The 17,977-nt window shown below is 37.8% G+C and overlaps 1 protein-coding gene across 8 annotated transcripts in view; it reads right to left on the bottom strand.

Moving 5' to 3' along the window:
* The window catches only part of USP9X (ubiquitin specific peptidase 9 X-linked), a 151,135-nt gene that overhangs the window by 61,004 nt on the left and 72,154 nt on the right, over positions 1–17,977 (bottom strand). For all 8 annotated transcript variants that reach the window (NM_001410748.1, NM_001410749.1, XM_047442548.1 and 5 more), the window contains 7 exons: positions 12,699–12,786; positions 9,362–9,704; positions 7,999–8,094; positions 7,358–7,569; positions 5,341–5,581; positions 4,957–5,106; positions 3,618–3,738 (listed from right to left, as the gene is read on the bottom strand). In NM_001410748.1, coding sequence (NP_001397677.1) covers positions 3,618–3,738; positions 4,957–5,106; positions 5,341–5,581; positions 7,358–7,569; positions 7,999–8,094; positions 9,362–9,704; positions 12,699–12,786 — 1,251 coding nt within the window. The remainder of the gene's footprint in view (positions 1–3,617; positions 3,739–4,956; positions 5,107–5,340; positions 5,582–7,357; positions 7,570–7,998; positions 8,095–9,361; positions 9,705–12,698; positions 12,787–17,977) is intronic.

Raw genomic sequence — 17,977 nt, 5'->3', positions numbered from 1 at the left:
GCAGAGAGGGTACAGGATGTTAATCTGGAACTTTTTTAAATTTTTTTTTTTTTGAGACAGCGTCTTGTTCTGTTGCCCAGGCTGGAGTACAGTGGCTTGATCATATAGCTCAATGCAGTCTCCATCTCCCAGGCTCAAGTGATCCTCCCACCTCAGCCTCCCAAGTAGCTGGGACTACAGGTGCGCATCACCACACCTGGCTAATTTTTGAAATTTTTAATAGAAATGAAGTCTGGCTATGTTGCCCAGGCTGGTCATGAATCCTGAGCTCCAGTGATCCTCCTGCCTCACCCTCACAAAGTGTTAGGATTATAGGCGTGAGCCACTACACTTGACCTAATCTTAAACATCTTGAGCCAAAGAGCACACAAGTGCTGAAAGAATAATGGGAACATATTAAAGTAACACAGAACAGTCTGAAAGGACTCCCACTGGCCAAACGAGATCATTTCAGCATCAAGATAAATGATAGTAACAGATTATAACTCCTTGATCATGATTTCATACAGATATAAACGAATGAATAAAATGTCTGATGAGGAACAGTATAAATATTTTCAAAGTACCTCTGCACAAAATACTTTTTTTTTTCTTCAGACAGAATCTCGCTGTCGCCCAGGCTGGAGTGCAGTGGCATGATCTCGGCTCAACGCAACCTCCGCCTCCCAGGTCCAAGCCTCAGCCTCCCAAGTAGCTGGGATTACAGGTGCACACTAACACGCCCGGCTAATTTTTGTATTTTTAGTAGAGACGGGGTTATGCCATGTTGGCCAGGCTGGTCTCGAACTCCCGGCCTCAAGCGATCTGCCCACCTCGGCCTCCCAAAGTGATGGGATGATAGGCATGAGTCACTGTGCCTGGCCCAAAATACTTTCAAAGGGAAGGGTAATTTTACAGTGGGGAAGCAAGGAAAAAACTCAAGTGATCACAGTGATCATCGTCAGTAATGGGAAAAATTGAAATTACATACTATCTGACTGGAAGCATTGAGAAGAACAGAACATCGCTTCTGTGGTATTTCTGCCAAAGACGCATAACCTGAATACAATCATGATAAAACAAATCTAAACTGAAGGACATTCTATAATTAACTGGCCTGTAATCTTTAAGAGTCAAGGTCATGAAGGTCAAAGACAGTATGAGGAACTGTTTCAGAAGGAAACTAAAGAGATACATTAACTAAATGCAATACAGTTATTCCCCGGTATCCATGGGGGGTGGGGGTGCAGGGATGGTTTCAGGATCCACCCTCCCAACACCAAAATCCAGGGATGCTCAAATACCTTATATAAAATGATGTGGAATTTGTATACAACCGATGCACATCTTCCTGTATAAATTATCTCCAGATTACAGTCACGTGTTGCATATGTTCTGAGAAATGCATCATTAAGTGATTTCATCATTGTGTGAACATCATAGGGTGTGTTTACAACAAATCTGGATGATACAGCCTACAACATATCTAGGTTATATATGGTATAGCCTATTGCTCCTAGGCTATAAACCCATACAAGCATGTTACTGTACTGAATACTGTAGGCAATTATAACACAATGGTATTTGTGTATTTAAACATAGAAAGGGTACAGTAAAAATATGGTATTATAATTTTATAGAACCACCATTGTATATGTGGTCTATCACTGACTGAAACGTCATTATCTGGTGCCTAACTGTACATTGTATTAGGTAACACCTAATACAATGCTTACACATAGCTTCATTCGTGTGGATTCAACACAGTACTCAGCATGTGGCAAATTCAAGTTTTGCTTTTTGGAACTTTCAACAATGTTTTTTCCCCCAAACATTTTCAATCCACAGTTGGTTGAATCCATAGATCCAGAACCCATGTATATGGAGGGCTGACTATATCTGAGTTTGAACTATATCTTTTTGCTGTGAAGGAGATAACTGAAAACACTCAATAGAGTCTGCTAAGTAGATGGCAGTAATGAATCGACATTAATTTCCTGGTATAGATGGCTTAATTTTGCTTATACAGACAAATATCCTTGTTTGTAGGGAAAGTATTTGGTGGGCGATGGGACTACAAAAACCAGTAAATTACTCTCAAGTGTTCTTGAATTATACTTCTAATTTTTCTGTAAGATTGTAAGTATTTCCAAAAAATACATTTAAAAAATTTTTAGGTTGTATAGGCTTGAATGATCTGCCAAAACTCTACTTTTTCCCCAAAAGCCCTACTATTTTTAGTGCATAATTTTGCCGAACATTAGGTTTTAAAGGAACACACATATATTAGAACATAAATGCAAGAATGTGTTAGTGAAAAACAAAATCCTGTATATGGAAAAGGATCACTAAGGAGACAAAGGTCTTGAAATTTTAACACTAGAATATTTGGAGGGGAAAAGCCAACAGAAGAGCTGGAAAAGGTTAAAGAAGCCACCCCAAAGGTGGAATAAGATTAAAGAGAGAAGGGAAGAGAGAAAAGGTAAAATCAGATCTAGTAAATTCACCATCACACTTAGACATTTCAAAGACACACAAAACGCAAAATGCTGGTGAGAAAACTATCAAAGAATACAAATCTCTCTCAACTGAGGAAATCTCCAGGCCCACAGGTGACGCACCACAAAACAGACTTAACGCTAAGGCACATCATAATATTTCAAAACGTAAGGATAAAACCAAAACTTCCAGAAACGAAGGTCACATGCAAAGGAATAGAAACCAAGAGGACTTTGGTCTTCTCATCAGCAATGCCACCAGCCAGAAGGAATATATTTTCAAACCTAGGATTCTATACACAAACCATTAATCAAACGTGATAGTTTGCCCACATTCAGATAAAAAATATCTCAAAAAAAAGTATGTGGGAAGAATAAGTGATAGGTGTACAATCAGGAAAATAAAAGGGAAATTATTAAATCCAGGATAAAAGTTGTCAGTGATCTAGAGAACTATATTTCAAACAATCTTGGAAACGTAGATGTTGAATCTGGATTTAAGCAAATACTGGGAGGATGTGGGGGTATGTAACAGTTAAGTTTTCATCTACACAGCAGAAAATCAGTATATATCTGTAAGTAACAAAGAAATAGCTGTATGAGGACACTCCAGACATAATGGTACATATATATACTAAAGTAAAAGCGAGAAGTTGGAAGTGGTTGTTTCTAAGGATAAAAAAGGAACAATACCGCAGATGACACATGACCCATATTATAGTCCAGGTATAGGCAAACATTTTCTGTAAAGGGCCAGGAAAGTTAAGCAGTTTAGGCTTGTGAACCATATGGCCTCTGCCACAACTCCTGGGCGGTGCTATTTTAAGACAAAAGCAGTCATGTAGACTGAATGTAAACAAATGAGCCTGGTTTTGATCATGGACACTAAAATTTAAACTTCATATAATTTTCATGTATCACAAAATATTATTCTTCTAGATTTTTTTTTTGTAGCCACTTAAAAATATAGCTCTTGGGATGCACAAAAACAAGCAGGGGGCTTGATGTGGCTTGTGGGCTGTCATCTGTCAACTCTTGTTATAGTCTATACCAAAAAGCACGGTCCATTTAGAAACAGAATTTGCTAATATACTCCTTTATTGTCCAGCAAGTACTTGATCATCATTTAAAAATTCTTACCTGGCGGCATAAGTTTCATAAGTACTCTTGCTCCATCTCTAAGGGGTGGCATATTTAGGCTGCTACCTAAGTCTGCAACTTGCCAAAGAAAAGAGATGTATCTGGGATGCAGTGACATTATCTAGAATATAAAATACACAAAATAATTACCTCTAAATTATTTACTCCCGTTTTATAAAAGCCCAAGTAAGTTTCTCTGTGTTAATCCCTATACTTTTACTTATGAAATTTCTACTCTTTGAAATAGTCTGACTTTCCCATCTTTTAATCCCTACAAATCCTTAATAGTGCAGATCAAATACATCATCAAGTCACTTCCAGTCATTTTTTTGTGATAGCTCCTCTCCTGTTCTATTAAACCATTTCTCTCATATATACAATTTAGACTCTGGACATAACAAAAGGCTGCCATGCCCACTACCAAATTCTTAATCCAGTTGTTATAGAGAGCCAAATCCTCCTGACACTGGAGTGGCTGCTACTATTGTAACCATTAAAATTTCTGTCGGGAGGGGCGAAAGGAGAGCTTAAAAATATTTCTTTGGCTATATGTTACTGACAATCTGATAAAGATTACAGGTATTTTCCTACATAGTTCTTGTTTTCATTTATTTATATTTTTAGAGATGGGGTCTCACTCTGTTGACCAGGCTAGAGCATAATGGCACAATCGCAGCTCACTGCAGCCTAGAACTCCTGGGCTCAAGCAATCCTCCTGCCTCACAGCCTCCCCAGTAGCTGGAATTACAGGTGTGAGCCACCATGCCCAGCTCATATATAGTTCTAAAAGAACTATCCGTTTTGTGGTATAAATTTTAGAAAGTGATACAGCTGACTCTTGAACAACACAAGTTTGAACTGCACAGGTCCATTTACATGCAGACTTTTTTCCCAATCAAATGTGGACAGAAAATTCAGTATTTCCAGCAAGCAAAACCCAAGTATATGGAAGGCTAACTTTTTGTATATCTGGTTGCACAGGGTCATCTGCAGCATTTTGGGTATATGCAGAGGTCCTGGAACCAATTCTCCACGTATACGAGGGATGACTGTTTTCCTCTAAATTTATACATCCAATAGTGTTATAATTAAGCTCTAATTGGTTAATTTTATGTAAAAGTAACAATACTATACCTATGGGGAAATTATGTTTTAAATTCCAACTGTGTTACAATTACCTTTTAGAGGGATCCATTCTGAAGTTGGTGGTTAACTGTATTTTTTTGTCTCATTAAACTGTAAGCTCCTCAAGAAAAGAAAGAACCACTCTATATACTTTATTCTCAAAAACCCTAGCATGATGCCTTACATACAGTAGTTCAAAACTGTATCTACTCACCACTCCAGGCAAACAGCTTTCCACTTCTGGATTGGGACCATCACTGTAATGATTACCATGGTTTCCAGGAGATCCAGTGGAGGAATCAGAAGAGCTATCAGGGCTTGAAGGCATATTGGAACTTATCTGTGTAAGTTTGGCTGTAATAAGCTGAAAATTATATACTATGTTAATATCAAAAACAAGGAAAAATACTTACACAAAACACAAAACTTAGTGATATACCAACCAAAAAATCCGAAAGACTACATGCTATACTTTAATGCTATAACTCTAACACCTAACACAGTCCCAAACATAACAAATGCTCAATTAGTATTTACTGATTAAACGATAGTCTCTGGTTTGATTTTATTGAAAAATCTGTTAACTATACATACATACCGATTTATCTTTTAAGTTTAATTGTCCAATCAACTTTCTATCATCTGCAGGATCTATCAGCTCACCGCCCACAAAGAGCTCAATTTTTGTATGGGCTACGTTGGCTTTAATACGATTGAGAATACATCGTCGTACTGAACCAATTGTATCATTTGTATGAGACCATACCTCCAAGTCATCAACCTGTCTGCCCTGGTTTGGAAATCGAACTACAAAAGAGAGGTGTTTACCGCGGAATGCTCTGGGGGGAAAAAGAAAGACAGACATCATCATATTCAGCAGACTCTGAAATTTTGTTGCCAAGAAAATAATGCTGGGGATTTAACACTAAGTATTTTCTTATTAAACAAGAGGATGTGAATTAAAGATACTTAATACAGCTTGAGAATCCCTTATATGAAATGTCTGGGACCAGACAAATTTTGGATTTCTTGGATTAGGGATACTCAACCTGTATTACTTTCAGTATCTTGAAAATAAGGCCAGGCATGGTGCCTCATGCCTATAATCCCAGCACTTTGGGAGGCCGAGGCGGGTGGATCACTTGAGGTCAGTAGTTCGAGATCAGCCTGGCCAACATGGTAAAACTCCATCTCTACTAAAAATACAGAAAATAAGCCAGGCTTGGTGGTGGGCGCCTGTAATCCCAGCTACTTGGGAGGCTGAGGCTGGAGAATCGCTTGAACCTGGGAGGCAAAGGTTGCAGTGATCCGAGACTGCACCACTGCACTCCAGCCTGGGCAACAAGAGTGAAATGCAAAAGAAAAAAAAATATTGCTCCTTTTAACTAAAAATATAAATAATATTTAAAAACATAATCATATTCTATTGTTGTTAGTCTTGTATCTATGGTTGCAGAAAATGAGGTGTCTACTAAAATGAAATTAAATCCAAGATATAACGCTTATTTTTATGCTGTAAAAGCCCAACTCACTAAGACTATTTTTAAATGTAAAAGGTTGGCTGGACGCAGTGGCTCATGCCTGTAATCCTACCACTTTGGGAGGCCAAGCAAAGAAGATCCCTTGAGCCCAGGAGTTCAAGACCAGCCTCGACAACATAGGTAGACCTTGTATTAATAAAAAAAAAAATTCAAAAAAAGAAGGTAGAGTTTACCTTTTACATTTAAAAGGTCGTTTTACATTTTGTTAAAAGCATCAACAAAAATGCCACAATGCACTTTATTTTTTTTCTGGAAAAAAGCCTTCATATCAAAATTCACTCCAAAATGCTATTTATATTGGTATAGTACCTTTTTTAAAGTAAAATACAAAATAAAAATCATATTCAAGAAGCAACTGTATATAATTTCATGATTAATAAACAAAACTCTTTAAAAAAAATGATGGCATTGACTACACAAAACATCCCAAAACTATAAACACCATTTGAAAATATTTGTTATATGCCATGCAAGGCAGCTTTTAAGAGCTCTTTACAGGCCAGGCACTGTAGCTCACGCCTATAATCCCAGCACTTTGGGAGGCCAAAGCAGGAGGATTTGCTTGAGCGTAGGAGTTTGAAACCAGCCTGGGCAATGTAGTGAAACCCCACCTCCACAAAAAGTCAAAAAAAATTAGCCAGGTGTGGTAGCCTGTGCCTGTAGCCCCAGCTACCTGGGAGGCTGAGGTGGAAAGGTCGCTTGAGCCCGCAGTGAGCCATGATTACACCTCGGCATTCCAGCCTGGGTGACAGAATAAGACCTTTTCTCAAAATAAACAAATAAACAAAAACACTTCAACTGCAAAATGCCACTGCAACACTTAATGAGTAATAATGTCAAAGACAAAAAGAAAACTAGAAAACAACTTAAGAATGCCTCACCCAAAAAACCAAAACAAAACCAGATGGGAGAGTGGGGGAGGTTATTAAAAAAAATTAGATGAAATGAAAATGTTTTTAATGGGCAAAGACAACAATTTTCAAACGAGAAAAATTTCTGCTCTCCTTTTACCAAATGGCTAGGAAAATATCAAATAATTAAGAATTAGCACCAATAGATTAGTTATTCACAAACCTCGACATAGGGAGAATTGTTCTTTCCTCATGATAATCACTGTCACATTCATTTATATATTCCCTTAAAACAGTTAATACTCGAACCATTCGAACAGCTTCCTGTCTTGCACAATTAACACTGTCTTTGTCACCATCCAAAACACACAATGTGTCATAGGAAGCCTTCAGACGATCAAAACAAGACTGAATGAAGTCTTCATGGATCACCACCTACAAATATCAGGCCAAATAAACACAGTTAAAATTGCTTTAAAATGTAAAAACCAAATATTAATCCAATTAAAGATGGCAATGGCTGATTTAATTGTAGCACTCAATTAACAACAGTCATATTTAAGTAGAGAATCCATACAATAATAAAATGTATGTTTATTAAAAGGAAGCTAGCATTACATAAGTTAACAAACATAAATTAGTCAAAAGTGAACTTCAGGATTAGGTGTTAGCATCAAAATGAATTCACATAGACTTTCTTTGCCATTTCAACATCTAATAAATAGTTATATTAAAAATAACCCAATCACTTCAAGACAACTAACAAGGCAAGATTCATTTAGATAATATTTTTTCTCTTTTGTATAAGAGAAATGGGGGCCGAAAGAATTATATATGGAAGTTTTAATGCACATCAATCCTCACCTGATTGACTTGTAGTCTTGGACCAAGGTTCGTGTATATCTCTTTGAGGAGATCTATAGCTCTGCTGGCAATATCATCATTACTCTGAATCACGACCTGGTTTCAAAATGATAAAAGTATTCATCCCTTTCAACATATATTTTTGTTGGGCATTTAAATTCAAACCATATCCTCAGTTATCTTAAACACACTATTCAATGATTTAATGGTAAGTTGACTTTGATAATCAAGTAAAATTAAGTGAGAAGCACAGACCAAAAGAAAGGGTAATAAATGCAAAATGAAAGTCTCTGAATAATTTAAGAATGAAAGGTACATTTTTGTAAAAATAAAATACGCTTTGACCACTATTATTTAACCCTATAATTTAATATCTTGATAACCAAGTGAGACACTCAAGAAGAAATTCAAATTAGTTGACAGGAAATAAGAGATTACATGAAACACAGTTTAGCATAAAGGACTACTCTACCCCCAGTTTCTATAAATCTTTATCACTCATCTAATTACATTAGTGGTTTCCAAACTATGTTCAGAACCCTAGGGGACTTTGAGGAAGTGTTTCAGTGTTGGCCCCTATAAAAGGGTTGGGGAGGGGAAAGGGGATAAGCATGGGGAGACCAAGTAAGAAAACATATTTTCCTTGTTCAATTCAGTTTACTTTTGTAGTGTGGTGCAAATTTTGAGTTTTAAGATGTGTTTCTGCTGTTAAAACAATGTTGAAAACCACATACTTAATTAAAAGCTTTTAAATACTCAAATGCCACAATAAACATCTTTATCTATGGTTTGCAGGAAAATATGTGAGACATCCAAACAATATAAACTGCTGTATAACAGGTCAGATTAAAGATAGGCATAATAGAGTAGTACTATAAAAATAGATTAGCCTTAAAAAGATAGTATTTTATTCCCCCAGGTATTTAAAAATATCACAAGGTAAACAGTGCCAATAAAGCATATACTCATAATCTATACTAAACACAAGTCCTCTCTTCTGTCCTCTATTTTAGTGTTAAACATTGAAGAGGAGGAAACAGATCGACACTGAATGAAAACTCGGGAAGGAACATTAATATCCACGGGGGAGGAATGAAAGATTTGTATGTTTAGTGCACATCTATGGAATACACAGATACTAAGCTAAGACAAAAGGAACATCAGTGGCAGGAGGAGGGAGAGGAAGAGAGAAGAAAAAGCCCACTGACAGGTGACATAATAAAAATGAACAATTCCTAACTACACCAAATTCCTGAGACAAACATCAGAGTAAAATACACAATTTATATGCAAAATTACAATTCCTTACGTACATGAAAAAGTACATCAGACACCATTTACAGAGTTCCTACTTTTGACTTACCCTCCAAAGGTAATCTAATCCTATTAACTCCAAGTCATCCATCATATAGGCTCTCCTTTTTGCTACTAGTTTTCCTTCTCGACAATTCACAGCTTTGAAGAATCGCTCAAAACACTTCATTCCATTTTCAGTTAACAGAGAAGGATCAAGCTGAAGCACATTACTTTCAAAGAAGTCCTTATTAATATCAGGATCTAAGTCTGGTTCATCCCCCATCAACTTGGAATACCACTTAAAACAGGCTTCACGATCACAAAGGTAAACTGCATTCTCAGCTAAGCATTTCCATATTTGTTTTGCCTGAGGAGCACATAGCCACAGCTGACCATCCTTCAATAAAAATCTTGAAAAAACATTGAAAATTGGCAATTAGATTTATGTAATTTTTATCCGGAAAGGCAATCTGTATTACCTATAAAATACATTTATCACCATTATATTTTAACTATAGATAAAAAGATATTCATTCTTTCAAAATAACCTATTTCTCTACTTTTATCTGGTACTAAAAAAAAATCCCCACTAGATATTAATTAATTCAACAAGCACACACTGAACACCCACTTTGTGCCTGAAATGCAGCTAGCTGAATTAGGAATAAAAGATTCATTCCATGAACCTTTAGTTTTTGAAACCAGACTTTTGGAAAGAAGCATGTTTAGTAGCTTGAGTTAAAAATAAAAGACTTAGGCTGGGCACAGTAACTCACGCCTGTAATGCCAGCACTTTGGGAGGCTGAGGTGGGCGGATCACCTGAGGTCAGGAGTTTGTGACCAGCCTGGCCAACATGGCAAAACCCCATCTTGACTAAAAATATAAAAATTAGCCGGGTGTGGTGGCTCATGTCTGTAGTCCCAGCTACTGGGGAAACTGAGGCATGAGAATCAATTGAACCCGGGAGGCGGAGGTTGCAGTGAGCCAAGACTGTGCCGCTGCACTCCAATTAAAGATGGCAATGGCTAATTTAATTGTAGCACTCAATTAACAACAGTCATATTTAAGTAGAGAATCCTGGGTGAGACCCTGTCTCCAACAACAACAACCAGAAAAAAGACTTAGCAGCCTGCTTATATGGCATCATTGAAAAATGAGGTATTCAATCAAGTGACTTTCACAAATAACTAATCCATCAATATTTATGAGTTAAAACTGCTTAACTTTTCAAAGGTTTTCCATTTTTTTGTTTTTTTCTAAAGATGGCATAGACCCTTCTTCAAATGAAAATCCCATTTGGAATCTGATATATATTTTAAAAAGTAGAGCTGCACCAGTTGTTGGGAGAGGAAAAAGAAAGGAAAAATCGGGAAACTTCCTACTGCTTGTTCAGAAATCTTCAAGGAACTTAACTCAGAAGCCCTAAAGCTCCTACGTAAGTTTGAAAAACTACCGGTCTAATAGGAAGAGCACAGACTTAAGTAAAAGAGACCTAGTTGAGTAGTGCAATTCCATCGTATACTGGCTGTGATATTTCAAACAAGCTACCTTAAGCCATTGGAATCTTGGGTTTCTTACTGATCAGATGGGAGTAACACCTGCTGCACTGTGTTGCTTCGGAGTAAATATAAAGTGTCTGGCACAGGCCCAACACACAGCAGGCATTAAAGTCAGGTTCCTCTTCCTTGAGTTAGTTGCTATTAGCTCACATACAGAGGTACTAACAGAGTAGAAACTACAATAGTTCCTCTGATTCCAAACTTTAAAATGGCAAAAAGGCTTGAAACCACTTTTCTGTTCTAGTAAACCTAAGAGACATATAACACATGCCAATCAGTAACGACTGCTTACTATGGCAGTAACTCTCAATGTGGGGAGGAGGCAAGTCCTTCTATCCAGGTGGTTAAAAACAAAACACACAGGAAAAAAAAAAACAATGCACTTTAAACAAATGCCAAATTTCTTAAAATTTGGTAGAGGTTTTTCCTCAAAATCATTATATAGCTACTTAAAATTTTCTCCATAAATAAGCACAGAGTTCAATAAATAGAAATCCATAATTAACACAGCCCAGGACAAAACTACCCAGAATATGTTATTAAAATAAATGGGGCCAGGCACGGTGGCTTACACCTTAATACCAGCACTTTGGGGGACCGAGGCGGGCAGATCACGAGGTCAAGAGATAGAGACCATCCTGGCCAACATGGTGAAACCCCGTCTCTTCTAAAAACACAAAAATTAGCTGGGCGTGGTGGCGCATGCCTGTAGTCCCAGTTACTTGGGAGGCTGAGGCAGGAGAATTGTACCTGGGAGGTGGAGGTTGCAGTGAGCTGAGATCTCACCACTGCACTTCAGCCTGGCGACAGAGTGAGACTCCGTCTCAAAAAAATAAGATAAATAAATAAAATAGACTTCAAGAAGCAGTGATAATCTGGGCATTTCTGTTAGCACACTTGTAATCTAAACAAGCTCTTTTGCTACATGTGGTTTTTTGAATTCAAAAGGAACCTCTCATTTAAAAAAAAAATTTTTTTTTTTTTTTTGAGACAGGGTCTGGAGTGCAGTGGTGCAATCACAGCTCACTGCAACCTCCGCCTCCGAGGTTGAAGTGATCCTCCCACCCCAGCCTCCCGAGTACCCGGGACTACAGGTGAACACCACCATGCCTGGCTGATTTTTGTATTTTTTTTTAGAGATGGGATTTCGCCATGCTGCCCAGGCTGGTCTTGAACTCCTGGGCTCAAACCATCCACTTGCCTTGGCCTCCCCAAGTGTTGGGATTACAGGTGTGAGCCACCGTGCCTGACCATCAAAATTTTTAACAAAGGCACTTTGCACATCTGTTAAGTGTATGATCACCAAACGCTAAATATTGCAGAGAAAATCCAGCCCTAGACTACATTTTATCTTAATAAACCTTTTCCCCTCAAGCCAATCAGAAATGATATTATTAACACATGACTTTAGATTGCCTGTCAGCCACTGTTAGAATAAACAAGATACCAGAGGACTCCAACCACTCTTTTGAGGTGCTGGTCTAGCAGCCTTTTGCCCCCGTTTCCTTAGTGTCTATGATATCATTAAGTCAGTATAGTCCTCCTTCCGGTTGTGTCAAAATATGGGAATTTGCCCTTTAAAAATAAACATTATTTCCAGCATAAACAGATATGAAGAACGAAGTCAATTCTAAAGGTTAAAATGTGTTCTCTTAAAATATTGCAACAAAGTTAAAACTCAGCGAATCATTTTAAAGTATTTAGTAACAAATACAGGGAAATGTCTTACATGACTTGGGGACTTGGGAAAAGGCCACCCAACAAAGACCAAGCTATACAGTCTATTCATTCTGTATTCCTTATCTTTTTCTTAAAGAGAGCAACACTAACTGTATAAAACAAACCTAAGGAAGTTAAGCCGTTCTTGAACTTCTTGAACATGACTATATCTACTTCCCAGCCTCACAGTTTGTGGGTCATAATCTTCATGGTCTGCAAATTAAGAAAAAACCATGCATTATACACATGGATAACCCAAATCACTGCTTTGACTTCAACCAAAGAAATTAGGCCAGTTAAAATGTCACTAATCCTTTATCATTAAAAGGCAACCTAAATTCTACCAGTTGGTGGTTTCTATCCATCTCCTGTTTTCCCCACAAAAATACGTTCCTGTTACATAACCAAAACAAAATAATCTGTTAAATATGCTATCAAAAATAATTATTCAGCACAACCCCTTCGTGCAACCTTCACACACAATGAAGCAATTCATGATTGCAGCCTAAGACTGACCTAAGTGGTCTATGAACTGATAAGGAAGACAAAATTTTTTTCTTCAATTTCTTACCTGTTATATTGAAAGGTGTTTTCATGAAGAAAAAATTATTTTGGTATAAAAATAAATATTACTAATTTACACCTAAGAAGTGAGGGTAACACAAGATGCTACTCTACATGACCAAGTTATCATACAATTGTCACCATTACCATGTTAATGTCCAGAATGTGTCATTTTCCTTCAGCATTAATTACTATATTTCCATATCAGATCCCAGACCCTATGGTATGTGCAAGCTATTGTTAAAGATTCTAATTATGTAAGCTCTTTTGGAAATCAGTAATCAAATTCTTCAAAACATTGATGTTTCTTCTCTGAACAAACTCCTGATGTGTTATAAAGATGGGACATTCATAATGTCTGGAAACATATTTGGTTTTGATGCTTTGGTAAAGAAAAAAGCCCCATATATTACGACCAAACTACTTTCTAATTCCACATATATTGGAATATGCAAACAGGCATAAACACTCTACTTTCAGGAATGCATATTTCATCAGAGATTGGGACTTAAAGGACTACTTCAAGAGGTTTTCTTAAGAAACTGGAAAGAAAATCAAGTTTTAGCTCATGCCTGTAATCCCAGCAATTTGGGAAGCCCAACCCAGGCAGTAGTATTGCTTCAGGCCAGGAGTTCGAGACCAGCCTGGGGAACATAGCAAGACCCTGTCTCAAAAAAAAAAAAGTGAGAGGATGGTTTGAGCCCAGGAGTTCAAGGCTGTAGTGAGCTATGATTGCACCACTGTACTCCAGCCTGGGCAACATCAAGACCTTGTCTCTTTAAAAAAAAAAAAAAAAAAAAAAAGGCAGGGCGCCATGGCTCACGCCTGTAATCCTAGCACTTTGGGATGGCAAGGCAGGCGGATTACCTGAGGTCAGGAGTTCGAGACCAGCTTGGCCAACATGGTGAAACCCCGTCTCTACTAAAAATACAAAAATTAGGCATGGTGGCAGGCGCCTGTAATCCCAGCTACTCTGGAGGCTGAGGCAAGAGAATTGCTTGAACTCGGGAGGTGGACGTTGCAGTGAGCCAAGATTGTGCCACTACACTCCAGCCTGGGTAACAGAACGAGACTCCGTCACCAAAAAAAAAAAAAAAAAAAAAAAAAAAGGCAAGAATTCTCTTATACTCTTTACCTGTATTCACCAATTGTTTACATCTTCCTCCATTTGCTTCATTAGTTGCCACACATGTAAAAAATACACACATACACGTGTGTGCATAATCTTTATAAACCATTTAAGAGTTGGACATATGTCCTTTTACCCTTAAATACTTCAATGAGTATTTCCAAATAACAAGAAAACTACACTAGTAAAATACTACCATCATCTAACCCAGGGTTTCCGTTACTGACGTTTGGCCAGGTAATCTTCGTTGTACAGGACTGTTCTGTCTAGGACTGCACTATAGGTTACTTAGTAACATTCCAGGCTTCTACCCACCCCTCAACCCCAGTTTAAGACAGCTCCAGACACTGTCAAATAGCCACCTCCACCCCCTCGGAGGAGCACTGATTTAATCCATGGTCCATATTCGAGTTCATCAATTTTCCCAATAACGTCCTTTTACATCTTTTCTACAAAGCCCAAGATTAAATATACATTGCATTTGGTTTTCATGACTTTCTATTCTTTAATCTGCAGAATTAATCATCCTTTGTGTTCTTTGACCTTTTTGAAAACTGGAGGTCAATTTTGTTGAAATGTCACTCAATTTGGGCTTCCATGCCACTTCGTCATAATTAGATCAGTCTAAGCATTGTGGCGAGTAACACAGAAGGGAGGCAGGTTTCTCTGATGTAAAGGTACTATTTTGCTCTTTGTAATTAATAAGTAATTTGTAGAGAGAGACTTTGAGGCTATGTAACTATTTTGTTAAACTTTTGCCCACTAGTTTTAGCTAACAACCCACCTCCCTTTTTTTGTTTAGGTGCTAACACTTTACTTATGAAGAACTGGGACCCTGCACAAAGAGTAGAACTTTGGAAACATTCAGCTGACAGCTAATCAATAAAAGTCAAGAAATAAGATGCCTTTATGCTAAATAGGAATGAAGAGGCCCTCTTACTACAGAGAAGCTTCCAAGCTGTCAAGACAAATTTATATATATATATATGTATATATATAAATTGGTAGTTTAGTAGTAAATATTCAGTTCAAAACAAATACCTGGACTTGTTAGCTAGCAGTCAAATGAGGAGGATAATCCACTTTTGACTCATATTGTCTAGGTGGCAAATATCCCGCTGAAAACAGCAGGAAGAATTAGATGAGACTAAATTACTCAGATGTCTATGAAAATAGGTAGGAAGAGGTAGTGAATCATGGCTGAGACTAACATAAATTGGTTCTTGTCATCATAAACAGCAAGTTTTCTAGGGCCCATTTTAGAACTTATTTTAAAAGTTCATTTAAAAAAAAAACATCGAGTCATAAAGTACCATAAAATCTATCCATTTAAATACAATTCAATTTTTTTAGTACAGTTGTATAATCATCATCACAATCTAAGTCTACATTTTTCCTCACCCCAAGAAGAAACCCTGTACAAACCACCCTCTCCCTTTGTTCTCCCTGCTTAAGTCTGAGGCATTTCATATAAAAATGGAATCATGGCTGAGCACAGTGGCTCATGCCTGTAATTCCAGCACTTTGGGAGGCTGAGGAGGGCTGATCATCTGAGGGCAGGAGTTTGAGACCAGCCTGGCCAACATGGCGAAACCGTTTCTACAAAAAAAAAATTAGCCGGGAATGGCGGCATGTGCCTGTAATCCCAGGTACTCGGGAGGTTGAGGCATGATAATCACTTGAACCCAGGACGCGGAGGTTGCAGTGTGCCGAGCTGGCGCCACTGCACTCCAGCCTGGGCGACAGAGCAAGACTTCATCTCAAAAAAAAAGAAAAAAAAAAAAGAATCATGCAATATGTGGTATTTTTCTGACAGACTTTTTCCCACTTAGCATAATGTTTTCAAAGTTCATTCATGTTGTACAGATTTATGTATACATTTTACTTGGGTATGTAACTGGGAATGGGTAATATGGTAAATTCTACGATTAATATTTTGCAAGGTGGGTGCCACTCTACAATCCCACAAGGACTATATGAATGCTCCAATTTCTCCATAGCCTCATCAACATTTACTGTTGTCTTTTTTGTCACCCTAGTAGGTATGAAGTAGCATTATCTCACTGTGGTTCTGATTTTCATTCCCCTAATAACTAATAATACTAAGCATCTTTTCAAGTGCTCATTGGCCATTTGTATGCCTTCTTTGCAGAAATTTCTATTCAGATCCTTTGCATCCATTTCTTAATTGGGTTGTCTACTTCTTTTTCTTGCCTAGTTATCCTGGCTAATGCCTCAAGCAGAATGTTAAATAGAAGTGGTTGGAGTGGACATCTTTGTCTCATTCTTGTTCCTAGGGGGAAAGCAACCAGTTTTTTACCATTAATTAGTATGAGGTTAGCTGTGGGTTTTTTGGGACAGTCTTGATCAGGTAGAGGAAGTTCCCTTCTATTCCTAGTTTGAGCCTTTCTATATTGAAAAGAGGCTGGATTGGACAAATGCTTTTTCTGCATCTATTAAGATGATATGTGCTTTTAGTAGTTTCACTATTGTTGGATGGAGTATTCCACAGATGTCTGTCAGGTCTGTGGCCTGTTAGAAACGGGGCTGCACAGCAGGAGGTGAGCCCCCCACCCCCCAGTCCGTGGAAAAACTGTCTTCCACAAAACCAGTCCCTAGTGCCAAAAAGGTTGGGGACTGCTGGTTTATAGTATTCAAGTATTTTTTTCCTGCAAATTCGGAACACTCTGTCTGATGTCACTTGTTTTGGGCCTAATTACTTCCTTTAGGGTGTCTTGTAAGCCAAGTCTTAGAGCAACAAATTCTCTCAGTCTTTGTTTATCTGGGAATATCTTCAGCTTGCCTTCAGATTTTAAAGACTGTGCTGCTGAATGTAAAATTCTTGGTTGTCATGTCTGTCCCCCAACCCCAGCACTTTGAATATGTTGTCCTACTGCCTTCTGGCCTCAATGTTTCTGATGAGAAGTCAGCGGTTAATTTTTATTGGGGTTTCCTTGTGCAGGAAGACTCGTTTTTCTCTCACCACCTTCCAATTGTTCTCTCTGACTATAATGTGTCTCAGTCTGGGGCTCTTTGCATTTACCCTATTTGCAATTCTTTTTTAAGCTTCTTGTCTGCCATCAAATTAGAGACGTTTTCAGTGACTATGTCTCTTTCTGTCACTCTCATTCATCTGGTATTCCCATTAAAATTAATGTTGGTCCCCTTCATGGTACCCAATATTTCCCTGAGATTCTGTTCACTTTTCCTGTGTTCTTCAGATTGCATAATTTCTACTAATCTATCTTCAGGTTCACTGATTCATTCTTCTGCCAGCTCAAATCTATTGTTTAGCCCCTCTTATGAATATTTCATTTTGGTTATTATACTTTTCAAGTACAAAATCTCTACATGATTTTTTAAATAAAAAATAATTTCTCTTTACTATCCTCTAATTTAGATTAGACATTGTCATCATACTTTAAAAATTCTTTAGACATGGTTTTCTTCAGTTCTATGAGCATATTTGTAATTCAAGTCTTTGCTGTCAAGTCTGTCTGCAAAGCCCTCCATTTGGCCTCCTTCAAAGGCAGTCTCTGCGTCAGTCTACAGGTCCCATCTTCCCATTTGTTTGCATGCCTCAATTTTTGTCATCAAAATCTGGACATGTTAGATATGCAACAACAACCTGAATACTGATCTCCCTTCCCCCACCCGTTTGCTTGCTTGTTTAGTGACTGGGCTATGACTATGGGAAACAGAAATATGACT

This window comes from Homo sapiens, chromosome X (genome assembly GCF_000001405.40).
Source record: "Homo sapiens chromosome X, GRCh38.p14 Primary Assembly".
Lineage (NCBI taxonomy): Eukaryota > Metazoa > Chordata > Mammalia > Primates > Hominidae > Homo > Homo sapiens.
The sequence above is the reverse complement of the archived record's forward strand: the minus strand, read 5'-3'. Positions and strand labels throughout refer to the sequence as shown.